Source organism: Homo sapiens, chromosome X (genome assembly GCF_000001405.40).
Source record: "Homo sapiens chromosome X, GRCh38.p14 Primary Assembly".
NCBI classification, from domain to species: Eukaryota; Metazoa; Chordata; class Mammalia; order Primates; family Hominidae; genus Homo; species Homo sapiens.
The window spans coordinates 47,155,482-47,169,929 of record NC_000023.11 but is presented as its reverse complement, the minus strand read 5'-3'; the positions used below and the strand labels follow the sequence as shown (position 1 = coordinate 47,169,929).

General features: G+C 46.6%; 1 protein-coding gene and 1 pseudogene across 12 annotated transcripts in view; one reads left to right on the top strand and one right to left on the bottom strand.

Moving 5' to 3' along the window:
* RBM10 (RNA binding motif protein 10) overlaps nucleotides 1–14,448 on the bottom strand; it is a 41,593-nt gene that overhangs the window by 16,884 nt on the left and 10,261 nt on the right. For all 12 annotated transcript variants that reach the window (NM_001204468.2, NM_001440861.1, XM_047442551.1 and 9 more), the window contains exon 3: nucleotides 432–615. In NM_001204468.2, coding sequence (NP_001191397.1) covers nucleotides 432–615 — 184 coding nt within the window. The remainder of the gene's footprint in view (nucleotides 1–431; nucleotides 616–14,448) is intronic.
* ITPK1P1 (ITPK1 pseudogene 1) lies at nucleotides 12,155–13,543 on the top strand (annotated as a pseudogene).

Below are 14,448 nucleotides of genomic sequence, written 5' to 3'. Positions count from 1 at the left end.
GGAATGCCCATGGCTGGCCTCCCAGAGCTCCTCAGCTTGGTGGTCTGCAGTCCCCTTGTTGTCCTCCCAACCCCAGACGCCGGGTCCCATGGAAGAGGCTCTTCAAGTGCCCAAGTTGGCTGGGAGCGGGCAGTACAGGGTTCACAGTGAGCCATGGGCCCGAACTGAACAACAGGGAGAAAGGGAAAGAGTGGTGGCCAGGGGCCCTCAGAAGTACAGAGCCAAGCATGTGGAAGCCAGGGAGACCCAGGTTGGGAGAGGAGCCCTCAGAGAGGGGAGTGGGAACAGGCCCTCCAGGTGAGGCAAAGCCACCGAGCACAGTCTGAAGGCACGGGAGTGGAGAGCTGCCTGCACACGGTGCTGCAGCCAGACACAGAGGGCCCTTGGGAGCCCATCCCAGCCAGGCCTGGCGCAGCGCGCCCCCTCCTCACCTCCGCACTCTGCTCCTCAGATGAGTCGTCATAGTCATGCTTGCCCTCCTGGCTGCCATACTCGCGAGGATATGAACGGTAGTCCATGTCCCGGTAGTCGTGGTCTCGGCTGCGGTTCTCCCCACCATCATCCTGCGAGCGGTCAGTGGCTCCATAGCGGCCAGTCCTGTCACCACGACCACCACTAGTGGAGGAAGAAGGATGGGGAGGGATCAGAAGGTTGCCCTTTCTAAAAGGTGCAAGAGGCCCAGGTGATGTGTTCTCGTAGGGTTTTGGTTTTTTTGGAGGAGCATACAACAGAAGTGAGGTGCCCTTCTGATCCTATCAGAGAAAGAAGTACATGATACCACCATGACTTAGCTCTGGTGATGTTAACCATGGTCATCTGGTTAAGGCAGTGTCTGCCAGGTTTCTCACCCTGTAAACTTTCTATTTTTCCCTCCCCCTACTCTATTCTTTGGAAGCCCTCAGGCCCGCCCCCATACAGGGATTCCTAAATCCCTGCTCCACATCTCTGAAGTGCAACCTGCCTCTCTCCATCCCTATGTCACTCTCTGGTCCATGCCACTGGCTTCCCTCATGGGGCACCTTGGTTGTGGCCTGGCTGTTCTCCTCACTTCTACCTGGACCTCCCCAGTTCAGTCTCTACATCCCAAATCCCAAATGTGAGTGCTTTCTAAGGCAAAGCCACTCAAACCCATCTCACTCCCTTTAGTGGCTCCCCCTCAGTCTCAGGATCAAATACCAAAATGCTCACCAAGGTCTCATTCGGCTTGCAGGATCCCCGGGGGTGAGGCTCCTCCTCCCTGTCTTGCACCACGTCCCCTGCCCCTGCTTCACTGTCACCTTGCCGACACTAGCAGCTCTTTCATTAAAATTTCTCCTACCGCAATAACTGTAAAATAATGATCTCAAAGCTGATTTCATCTGCATTTCTTTTCTTTTTTTTTTGAGAATGGATCTGGCACTGTTGCCCAGGCTGGAGGGCAGTGGCATTATCAGGGCTCACTGCAGCCTCAACCTCCCAAGCTCAAGCCATCCTCCCACCTCAGCCTCCTGAGTAGTTGGGACCACAGGCACGCACCACCACGCCCAGCTCATTTTTGTATTTTTTGTAGAGATGGGGTTTCACCACATTGCCAGGCTGGTCTCAAATTCCTGGGCTTAAGTGATCCACCCACCTCAGCCTTCCAAAGTGCTGGGATTACAGGCGTCCACCACTGTGCATGGCCTAATCTGTGTTTCTTTGGTGAGTTAAAAAATTACTAGAATATGGGCTCCAGGAAATGAGGGGACCCTTAGCTCACTGCCATATTCCCTAGCACTCAGTAGGCGCTCAACAATTATTTTGAACAAATAATGACTAAAAAAGCATTCTAAGAGCAACCAATATATGTTTATTTAAAATAGAAAAAACTAGATGCCACAGAAGAATGCTACTATACTAACAGGATTCCAATTCTGGTCGGGAACAACATTAGAATGTCCGTTATCAACAGCATTCTTAACATTATTCTAAAGACACTAGCTAAAGCAATTAAACAGGGAAGGAAGAAAAGAGGTTAAAAGCTGGAAAGGAGAAGGTAAAATTACCATTATTTGTAAATGATATGAGAGTATACCTGCAAAGCCTAAGAGAATCAACTGAAAAACTTGTTATAAATAATAAATCAGTAAGGATGCTGGGTACAAATTAATGTAACCACTGTTTAGAAAATAGAAAGGTCCCAAGTACAATTCATCAAAAAGGTTAAATACCTAGACATGTGCAAGATATTATGACTATACTTCACATATATACCAGGATATATTTGAAATAGATCAAAGATTTAAACATAAGAAATGAAACCATAGGCCAGGCGTGGGTGGCACCCTGGGAGGCCGAGGTGGGCAGATCACTTGAGGTCAGGAATTCGAGACCAGCCTGGCCAACATGGTGAAACCCCATCTCTACCAAAAATACAAAAATTAGCTGGGTGTGGTGGCATACGCCTGTAATCTCAGCTACTTGGGAGGCTGAGGCAGGAGAATCGCTTGAACCCGGGAGGCGGAGGCTGCGGTGAGCCACTGCCAGTCTGGGTGACAGAGTAAGACTCTGTCTTAAAAAAAAAAAAAAAAAAGAAATGAAATCATAAAAGAAAATATAGAATAACTGAATAATTTCTTTATAATCTTGAAATGGGGAAACCTATAATCCAAATCCAGAAGCCACAGAAAAGATTACTAAATTCAACTACATAAAAATAAAATACTTTTGCTTGGAGAAAAAAACAGAAAAATAAAAAACATCATTAACCAAGTCAAAAGACAATAAACTAGGAAAAAATATGGGGAAAGGAAGTAAACAGAATTCACAGATAAAAATATCAATGATGTGTATCTGAAAAGATGCTCTATCTCACTCATAATGAAAGATGAAAATTTTGCCGGGCGCGGTGGCTCACACCTGTAATCCCAGCACTTTGGGAGGGTGAGGTAGGCGGATCACAAGGTCCAGAGATAGAGACCATCCTGGCTAACATGGTGAAACCCCGTCTCTACTAAAAATAAAAAAAATCAGCTGGGTGTGGTGACACGCACCTGTAGTCCCAGCTACTCGGGAGGGCGAGACAGGAGAATCGCTTGAACCCAGAAGGCGGAGGTTGCAATGAGCCGAGATCGCACCACTGCACTCCAGCTTGGGCGACAGAGCGAGACTCAGTCAAAAAAAAAAAAAAAAGAAAATTTTGCTAGGTGAGATGGCTCATCCTGTAATCCCAGCACTTTGCGGGGTGAAAGTGGGAGGATTGCTCGAGGCCAAGACCAGCCTGGACAACATAGCAAGATCCCGTCTTTACAAAACCACCATCACCACCACAACATATTAGTTGGGCATGGTGGTGTACATCTATAGTCCCAGCTACTCAGGAGGCTGAGGCGAAAGGACTGCTTGAGCCTAGGAGTTCTAGGTTACAGTGAGCTATGATTGTACCACTGCGCTCCAGCCTGAGTGACAGAGCGAGACTCCATCTCAAGAAAAAAAAAAAAGAGAGAGAGAAAGATGAGAATTAAAACTACATTGGATAGACTGTTTCAAAATAAATTTTATTTTACTTGAGACAAGGTCTCGGTCTGTTGCCCAGGCTGAGTGCAGTGGTGCAATCATAGCTTACTGTAGCCTCCACCTCCTGGGCTTAAGCAATCTTCCCATCTCAGCCCCAACCAGCTGGGACTACAGGAATGCACCACCACATCCAGCTAATTTTCAAATTTTTTGTAGATACAGGACCTCACTATGTTGCCCAGCCTGATCCTGAACTTTTGGACTAAAGTGAGCCTGTCGCCTCAGCCTCCCAAAGTGCTGAGATTACAGACGGGAGCCACTGCACATGGCCTAAAATAAACTTAAAATTTTAATTTTTGTATATTTTTTCTAGATCATTTTGTATTGTGGTAAAATATACATTTACCATTTAACCATCCTTTTTTTTTTAAATTTTGAGATGGAGTCTCGCTCTGTCACCCAGGCTGGAGTGCAGTGGCACAATCTCGGCTCACTGCAGCCTCCGCCTCCTGGGTTCAAGCGATTCTCCTGCCTCAGTCTCCCGAGTAGTTAGGACTATAGATGCACGCAGCCACGCCCGGATAATTTTTGTATTTTTAGTAGAGACGGGGTTTCACTATGCTGGCCAGGCTGGTCTCGAACTCCTGACCTCGTGATCTGCCCACCTTGGTCTCCCAAAATGCTGGGATTACAGGCGTGAGCCACTGGGCCGGGCCTCAAGCAATTCTTGTGCCTCAACCTCCCGAGTAGCTGGGACTACAGGTGTGTGCCACCATGCCTGGCTAATTTTTGTATTTTTAGTAGAGATGGAGTTTCACCATGTTGGCCAGGCCAGTCTCGAACTTCTGACTTCAGGTGATCCGCCTGCCTCAGCCTCCCAAAGTGCTGGGATTACAGGTGTGAGCCACCGCGCCCAGCCTCTTTTTTTTTTTTTTTCTTTTGAGACAAGTTTCACTCTTGTTGCCCAGGCTGGAGTCCAATGGCGCAATCTTGGCTCACTGTAACCTCTGCCTCCCGGGTTCAAGCGATTCTCCTGCCTCAGCCTCCCGAGTAGCTGGGATTACAGACATGCACCACCACTCCCGGCTAATTTTGTACTTTTAGTAGAGACAGGGTTTCTCCAAGTTGGTCAGGCTGCTCTCGAACTCCCTACCTCAGGTGATCCGCCCGTCTCGGCCTCCCAAAGTGCTGGGATTACAGGTATGAGCCACCGCGCCCAGCCAACCATTCTTAATTATCTAATTCAGTGGCATTAAGTATACTGACAATGTTATGCAACCATCACCTTTTCCAGGAATTTTTCATCATCCCAAACAAAACCTTTGTACCCATTAAACAATTCTCACCCCACCCCACAGCCTCTATTCTACTTTCTGTCTCAATGAATTTGCCTATTCTAGGTACTTCATAGTAGTGGAATCATATATTTGTCCCTATGTGTCTAGCTTATTTCACCTGGCATGTTTTCAAGGTTCATCCACAAGGCAGTATGTTAGAATTTCCTTCCTTTTTATGGTGGAATAATACTCTTCTATTGTAGTATGCATATTTTGTTCATTCATCTGTTCGTGCACACTTGGGTTGTTTCCACCCCTTGGTTATTTTGGACATTGTGAATAACGCTGCTATGAATATTGGTGTCCAAGTATCTGTTTGAATTATTGCTTTCAATTCTTTTGGGTATATATCTAGGAGTGGAATTGCTGGATCATATGGTAATCCTGTGTTTAACTTTTTCTGGAACCGCCAAACTGTTTTCCACAGCAGCTGTACCATTTTACATTCCTACCAGTGTTGCACAAGGGTTCCAATTTCCCCGCATCCTCACCAACACTTGTTATTTTGCATCTTTTCATGTGCTTACTGGCCACTTGTATATCTTTCTTGGAGAAATGTCTATTCAAGTCCTTTTGCCAATTTTTTTTTTTTTTTTTGAGATGGAGTACAACTCTGTCACCCAGGCTGGAGGGCAGTGGCATGATCTCAGCTCACTGCAACCTCTGCCTCCCAGGTTCAGCCTCCCGAGTAGCAGTGATTACAGGCGCCTGCCACCACACCTGGCTGATGTTTTGTATTTTTAGTAGAGACAGGGGTTTCACCATGTTAAGTCAAGCTGGTCATGAATCCTTTGCCCATTTTTAAATTGGATAATTTTGTTGTTGTAAGAGTTCATATATTCTGGATGTTAATCCCTTACCAGATATATTATTTACAAATATGTTTTCCCATTGTGGGTTGTCTTTTCACTTTCTTGATAGTGTCTTTGGAAGTATAAAAGTTTCTAATCGGCCAGGCACAGTGACTCACGCCTGTAATCCCAGCACTTTGGGAGGCCAATGTGGGCAGATCGCAAGGTCAGGAGATCGAGACAATCCTGGCTAACACGGTGAAACCCCGTCTCTACTAAAAAATACAAAAAATTAGCCGGGCGTGGTGGCGGGCGCCTGCAGTCCCAGCTACTCAGGAGGCTGAGGCAGGAGAATGGCGTGAATCCGGGAGGTGGAGCTTGCAGTGAGCAGAGATCGCGCCACTGCACTCCAGCCTGGGCGACAGAGTGAGACTCCGTCTCAAAAAAAAAAAAAAAAAAAAAAAAAAATTAGCCAGGCGTGGTGGCAGGCGCCTGTAGTCCCAGCTATTTGGGAGGCTGAGGCAGGACAATGGCGTGAACCTGGGAGGCGGAGCTTGCAGTGAGCCGAGATCGCGCCACTGCACTCCAGCCTGGGCAGCAGAGTGAGACTACGTCTCAAAAAAAAAAGTTTCTAATCTTTTGTTGTTGTTACCAGCAGTCCCTGAACCAGAATAGGTTCAGAGAGACTTCCAAAAGTTTCTAATTGTGGCCAGGCGTGGTGGGCTCACACCTGTAATTCCAGCACTTTGGGAGGCCAAGACGGGCGGATCACATGAACCCAAGAGTTTGAGACCAGCCTGGGCAACATACCGAAAACTCATCGCTATAAAACCAACAAAAATAAACAAAAGTTTCTAATTTTGATGAAGTCAAACTTCTTATTTTGAAATAATTTTACATTTGCAGAAAAGTTCAAAGAATCCCTGTATACCCTTCACCCAGCTTCCCCTAATATTAACAAAACTAAGGCACATTTGTCAAAACTAAGGAATTAACTAAACTACAGATTATATTAGGATTCCACCAATTTTCTCGTTAATATCCTTTTTCTGATCCAAGATTTAATCCTAAATATTACATTACATGTAGTTGTCATGTTCCCTCAGTCTCCTCTGGCCTGTGAAGGTTTATCAGTCTGTCCTTGTTTGTTTTTAATGACCTTAACAGTTTTGAAGAGCACTGGCCAGGTATTTTGTAGAATGCCCTTTAACTGGTTTTGTTTGATGTGTTCTCATGATTAGACCTAAGATTATGGATTTTTTTTTTTTTTTGGAGAAGCATACAACAGAAGTGAGATAGTGAAATGCCCTTCTGATCATATCACAGAAGAGTACATGATAACAACATGACTTATCTCTGGTGATGTTAACCATGATCACCTAGTTAAGGTGCTGTCTGCCAGGTTTCTTCCCTGTAAAATTTCTCTATTTCTCTCTCCATACTCTATTTTTTTTTTTTGAGATGGAGTCTCGCTTTGTTGCCAGGCTGGAGTGCGGTGGCGCCATCTCAGCTCATTGCAACCTCCACCCGGGTTCAAGCGATTCTCCTGCCTCAGCCTCCCAAGTAGCTGGGATTACAGGCACCTGCCACCACCCCCAGCTAATTTTTGCATTTTTAGTAGAGACGGGGTTTCATCATGTTGGCCAGGCTGGTCTCGATCTCCTGACTTCACGATCCGCCCCCCTCGCCCTCCCAAAGTGCTGGGATTACAGGCGTGAGCCACCACACCCGGCCTCCATACTCTATTCTTTAGAGGTGAGTCTCTAAGACCAGCCCACAGTCAAAAGGAGGGTAATTAAGCTCTACCTCCTAGAGGAGGGAGTATCTACATTATTTGGAGTTATATTAAAATTATTATTTATGATAACTATTAAATAATATAGTATTGTACTATACAATAATCACTAGTAAGGAAGATTTGATAGAACATTTTTAATCTAACAGATTTACAACAGTCCAATGTTTGAAAACAAACAGCAAGACTGTATGGAAAACAGGTACTTTCATATTGCTGGTAGGAGTTAAAAATGGAATAATCCTTATAGAGGAGAATTCGGCAATAGCTGACAAAACTAAAAATCTATATACCCTTTGACCCACAGTTCTACTTCTGGGAATTTAAAGTATACACATACTTGCACATGTACAAAAAAGTTACTGTAGCATTGTTTTAAAAAACAAAGGACAGGCTGGGCGCAGTGGCTCACGCCTGTAATCCCAGCACTGTGGGAGGCCAAGGCAGGCGGATCACGAGATCAGGAGATGGAGACCAGCCTGGCCAACATGGTGAAACCCCGTCTCTACTAAAAATACAAAAATTAGCTGGGTGTGGTAACGCGTGCCTGTAATCCCAGCTACTCAGGAGGCTGAGGCAGGAGAATCTCATGAACCCAGGGAGCAAAGATTGCAGTGAGCCGAGATTGCGCCACTGCACTACAGCCTGGCAACAGAGTGAGACTCTGTCTCAAAACAAACAAAAACAAAAAACAAAGGATAAGCCAGGAGCAGTGGCTCATGCCCCTAATCCCAGCACTTTGGGAGGATGAGGTGGGCGGATCGCTCGAGCCCGGGAGTTCAAGACCAGCCTGGGTGACATGGCAAAACCTCATCTCTACAAAGAAATACAAAAAGTAGTTAGGCGTGGTGGTGCGTGTTTGTATCCCCAGCTACTTGGGAGGCTGAGGCAGGAGAATCACTTGAGGCCAGGAGGTCAAGGATGCAGTGAGCCATGATCGCGCCACTGCACCTGGGCGACAAAGCCAGACCCTCTCTCTCTCTCTCTCTCTCTCTCACTAAAAAAAAAAAAAAAAAAAACTAATGAGTTGAGAGGAACTCTAGCAAATATTAAAACATTATAAAGGTAAATTAATTAAAACATGAATAGACAGATCAGTGAAATAGAATAGAATCTACAGCATACAAAAACACACTTGGAAATTCAGTATAAGCCAAAGGTTATATTTCAAACTAACAAGGGGAAAACAAATTAGTCAATAAATAATAGTTACAATAACTATCTGGCCTAGGAATCAGCAAACTATAGCCAGTGGACCAAATCCAGTCTCCTTAAATAAAGTTTTAGTGGAGGCCAGATGTAGTGGCTCACATCTGTAATCCCAACACTTTGGAAGGCCAAGGCAGGAGTAACCCTTGAGTTCCAGACCCAGCCTGGGTAACACAGTAGTCAGACCTCGTCTCTACTGGAAAAAGAAAAAAAGAAAGAAAGAAAGAAAGAAATTAGCTGTGTGTGAGGCTGAGGTGGGAGGATCCCTTGAGCCAGGGAGACAGAGGCTGCAGTGAGCTCTGATCGCGCCACTGCACTCCAGCCAGCCAGGGCAACACAGCAAGACCTTGTTTCAAAAAAAAAATTAATTAAATAAAGTTTTACTGGAACACAGCTATATTCATTCATTCATAAATTGTCCGTGACTGCTTTCAGTTTAGTTGCAACAGAGACAGTCCTGCAATGCAATGCCAAAAATATTTACTATCTGATCCTTCACAGAAAAGTGTTGCCCACTAAGAAAACAAAGTTTACCTCACTTCTTACGCCAAATAAATTATGGATGGGTGAAAACTTAAATTCCCAAATAGAAACCATAAAAATATTAAAGAAATCTCTCTCTCCAAAAAAAAATCTCGAAACTGCTTTCTCCCATGACCAAACTAGTTTGCATTCCCACCAACAGTATATAAGCATTCTTTTCTTTGCAGCCTCACTAACATGTTTTTTTTTTTTTACTTTTTAATAATTGCCATCTGACTGGCATGAGACGGTGTCTCCTTGTGGTTTTGATTTGCATTTCTCTGATGATTAGTGATGATGAGCATTTTTTCATGTTTGTTGGCCACTTGTATGTTATCTTTTGAGAAGTATCTGTTCATGTCCTTTGCCCATTTTTTAATTGGAAATTTTGCTTTTTGCCTATTGATTTAACTTCCTTGTAGATTCTGGATATTAGACCTTTGTCAGATGTGTAGCTTATGATTTTCTCCTATTCTGTAGGCTGTCCATTTACTCTGTTGGTAGTTTCTTTTGCTGTGCAGAAGCTGTTTAATTAGGTCCAAATTGTCAATTTTTGGTTTTGTTGCAATTGCTTTTGGGGACTTAGCCATAAATTCTTTGCCAAACCCTGTATCGAGGAGGGCATTTCCTAGGTTTTCTTCTAGGATTTTTTTTCTTTTTTTTTGAGGCAGAGTTTCACTCTTGTCGCCCAGGCTGGAGTGCAATGGCACAATCTTGGCTCACTGCAACCTCCGCCTCTCAGGTTCAAGTGATTCTCCTGCCTCAGCCTCCCAAGTAGCTGGGATTATAGGCATGCGCCACCACGCCTGGCTAATTCTGTATTTTTAGTAGAGATGGGGTTTCTCCATGTTGGTCAGGCTCGTCTCGAACTCTCGACCTCAGGTGATCCGCCTGCCTCGGCCTCCCAAAGTGCTGGGATTACAGGCATGAGCCACCGCGCCTGGCCTTCTAGGATTTTTATAGTCTGAGGTCTTACATCTTAATTTTTGTATATGGTGAGAGGTAAGGGTCCGGTTTCATTCTTCTGAATATGGCTAGCCACCTATCCCAGCACTTATTGAACAGGGAGTCCTTTCCCCCTTGCTTACTTTTGTTGATTTTGTCAAAGATCAGATGGTTCTATGTGTGCGGGTTTATTTCTGTGTTCTCTACTCTGTTCCACTGGTTTATGTGTCTGTTTTTGCACCAGGACCATGCTATTTTGATTACTGTAGCCTTACAGTATAGTTTGAAGTTGGACAATGTGATGCCTCTGGCTTTGTTCTTTTTGCTTAGGATTGCTTTGGCTATTCGACCCAGTAATCCTGCTACCGGGTATATACCCAAAGGAAAATAATTTATTCTATCACATGCACCCATGTTCAAAGCGGCACTTTTTTTTTTTTTTTTTTTTGAGACGGAGTTTCGCTCTTGTTGCCCAGGCTGGAGTGCAATGGTGCAATCTCGGCTCACCGCAACCTCCACCTCCTGGTTCAAGAGATTCTCCTGCCTCAGCCTCCCGAGTAGCTGTGATTACAGGCACGTGCCACCACGCCTGGCTAATTTTTTATTTTTAGTAGAGATGGCGTTTCTCCATGTTGGTCAGGCTGGTCTCGAACTCCCTACCTCAGGTGATCTGCCCACCTCGGCCTCTCAAAGTGATGGGATTACTGGCATGGGCCATGGCGCCTGGCCACTGCAGCACTATTCACAATAGCAAGGACATGGAATCAGCCTGAATGCCCATCAATAGTGGACAGGATAAAGAAAAATGTGGTACATATACACCATGGAATACTATGCAGCCATAAAAAAGACAAAATCATGTCCTTCACAGCCATATAGATGGAGCTGGAGGCTGTTATCCTAAGCCACCTGCCACGAAAACAGAAAACCAAGTACTGCATGTTCTCACTTATAAATGGGAGTTAAATGTTGAATGTACATGAATGTAAATATTGGAATATCAGACATTGGGGATCACTAGACCGGGAAGGTGGGAAGGGGGGCATGGGCTGAAGGACCATCTGTCGGGAACTAAGCTTACTGCTTGGGTGATGGGATCAACGGGGCCTCAAGCTTCAGTGTCACGCAATTTACCCATGTAAAAAAACCTGTACAGGCCAGATGCGGTGGCCCATGCCTGTAATCCTAGCACTTTGGGAGGCCGAGGGGGGCAGATCACTGAGGTCAGGAGTTTGAGACCAGCCTGGGCAACATGGTGAAACCTCGTCTCTACTAAAAAATACCAAAATTAGCTGGGCATGGTGGTGCACACCTACAGTCCCAGCTACTGGGCAGGCTGAGGCACGAGAATTGCTTGAACCAGGGAGGCGGAGGTTACAGTGAGCCGATCGCACCACTGTACTCCAGCCTGGGCGACAGAGTGAAACTGCGTATGAAAAAAAGAACAACCTGTATGTGGGCCGTGAGCTCCAGCTGGGTGGCCAGGGGTGGGGGGGTTGTGGAGACCGTGACACCACGCGGCCCTAACCCCGCACCCCGAGCCCTTTCCACACCCCTGCCACCAGGGGGTGCCCGCACGCTCCCAGCGCTCACTGGCCAACAGACTCAGCCTATGGGCAATTTCCTCAGGACCCAGGCTCCTTGCCCGAGGAGGAAGATATAGACCTTTATGAAAGGGAAGAGAGTTGGCTACTGGCTGCATGAGAAGAAAATCAAGAAGCTCAATTTCCCGGCTTTAGCGGAGGTGTGCAGGAAGTGAGGGATAGAAGTGGTGCAGCTGAGGCCGGGCGCGGTGGCTCACGCCTGTAATCCCAGCACTTTGGGAGGCCGAGGCGGGTGGATCACCTGAGGTCGAGAGTTCAAGACCAGCCTGGCCAACATGGTGAAACTCTGTCTCTACTAAAAATACAAAAACTAGCCGTAGTGGCAAGTGCCTGTAATCCTAGCTACTCGGGAGGCTGAGGGAGGAGAATCGCTTGAACCTGGGGGGCAGAGGTTGCAACGAGCTGAGATCACACCACTGCACTTCAGCCTGGGCGACTGAGTGAGACTGATCTCAAAAAAAAAAAAAAAAAAGTCATGCAGCTGAACCTCAGCCGGCCAATCGAGGAGCAGGGACCCCTGGACGTCATCATTCACAAGTTGACTGATGTCATCCTTGAAGCCGACCAGAATGACAGCCAGTCCCTGGAGCTGGTGCACAGGTTTCAGGACTACATCGATGCCCACCCTGAAACCATCGTCCTGGACTCCTTCCCTGCCGTCAGAACCCTGCTCGACCGCTCCAAGTCCTGCAAACTCATCTGGAAGATTGAGATCTACATGGAAGGCGGCAGGATCTGCTTGCTGCCCTTCATGGAGGTCACAAGCCTGTGCGGGGATGACACCATGTGGCTGCTGGAGAAGAACAGCCTGGCTTTCCTGTTCATGTGCAAAACTAGAGTGGCTCACGGCACCAACTCTCACGAGATGTCTACTGTATTCAATCAGGAGGGCCTGAATGGCATACAGCCACCCTGTGTGGTCTAGAATTTCATCAACCACAACACCGTTCTGTACAAGGTGTTCGTGGTCAGCAAGTCCTACACCGTGGTCCAGAGGCCCTTGCTCAAGAAATTCTCCGCGGACACAATGTGACCACGAATCCATCTTCCTCAATAGCCACAGTGTGTCAAAGCCAGAGTCATCATTGGTCCTGATGGAGCTGGACAAGATCAAGGGGTCTGGTCTGTTCAAGAGCAGCCGAGCAAAGAGGTCATCCGGGAACTCCCCCGGGCCCTGCGGCAGGCACTGGGAGTATTGCTGTTCGGCACCGACATCATCATCAACAACCAGATGGGGCAGCATGCCGTCATCGACATCAACGCCTTCCCAGCCTACGAGGGTGTGAGCAGGTTCTTCACAGACCTCTGGAACCACATCGCCACCATTTTCCAAGACCAGAGCACAGCCACAGCAGCCACAGGGGATGTGGCCCCACTGAGGCACAGCAAGCTCCTGGCCAAGCCGGCGAGCAGCCTAGCAGGCAAGCAGACATGCAGCACCAGCCACAGCTGCTGCAGCAGCATGATGGGCCAGGATGCACCCTGGAAGGCCAATGCCTATGTGGGTAGTACCTCCAAGCTGCCGCACCCGAGACTCTGCTGCACCACCAGTATGTCGCCCAGCTTCTAGCAGCACAGCGTGGCCTCCCTGGCCAACAAGGCCTCCTCCCAGTACCCATGGAGCCAAGATCCAGAGGGGTGGCATGGGGAATACCCGCTGGGCTAGCAGCTCCCAATGGCGATGCTACTACTAAGAATCCCCAATGATCTGATTCTTCTTTTTCTTAACTTTAACCTGATTTTCTGATGTCATGATCTAAATGAGGGTTGGGGGAAGATGGAAGAGAACATCAAGTGGTCCAGCGTTAGGAAAAAGGGCCATCCCATCCCACATGATTCCTGCTGTGCAGACATCTTCACTGAGTTAAAAAAAAAAACTGTATGTGTATCCTTTAATCTATAATAAAAGTTGAACTTTTAAAAAAAGAAAACAAATATTAGAAAACATAAGAAAAAAATGTATCACCTTAAGAGTGGGGAAGGCCTTCCTCAGCAAGACAAATCCCAGCAGTCATAAAAGGAAAATGAATAAATCTGGCTTTGTAAAAATTATAAATCTCTATAGAGTGTAAAAAATACGAGAAACTTAGAAGTAAATATGTAATAAAGCAAGTATGGTAAAACGTTAATAGTAGAATCTAGTGGGCTGGGCACGGTGGCTCACACCTATAATCCGAGCACTTTGGGAGGCCGAGGCAGGCAGATCACCTGAGGTCGGGAGTTTGAGACCAGCCTGAGCAACATGGAGAAACGCCGTCTCTACTAAAAATACAAAATTAGCCAGGTGTGGTGGCGCGTGCCTGTAATCCTAGCTACTCGGGAGGCTGAGGCAGGAGAATCACTTGAACCCAGGAGGCAGAGGTTGCGGTGAGCTGAGATTGTGTCATTGCACTCCAGCCTAGGCAACAAGAACAAAACTCCATCTCAAAAAAAAAAAAAAGAAAGAAAGAAGAAAAAAAAAGAATCTAGTGGATGGGTATATATGGTGTTCATTGTAAAATTCTTTTTTTTTTTTTTTTTTTGAGATGGAGTCTCGCTCTGTTGCCCAGGCTGGAGTGCAGTGGCGATCTCGGCTCACTGCAAGCTCCGCCACCCGGGTTCATGACATTCTCCTGCCTCAGCCTCCCAAGTAGCTGGGACTACAGGCGCCCGCCACCACAGCCGGCTAATTTTTTTGTATTTTTAGTAGAGATGGGGTTTCACTGTGTTAGCCAGGATGGTCTTGATCTCCTGACCTCGTGATCTGCCCACCTCAGCCTCCCAAAGTGCTG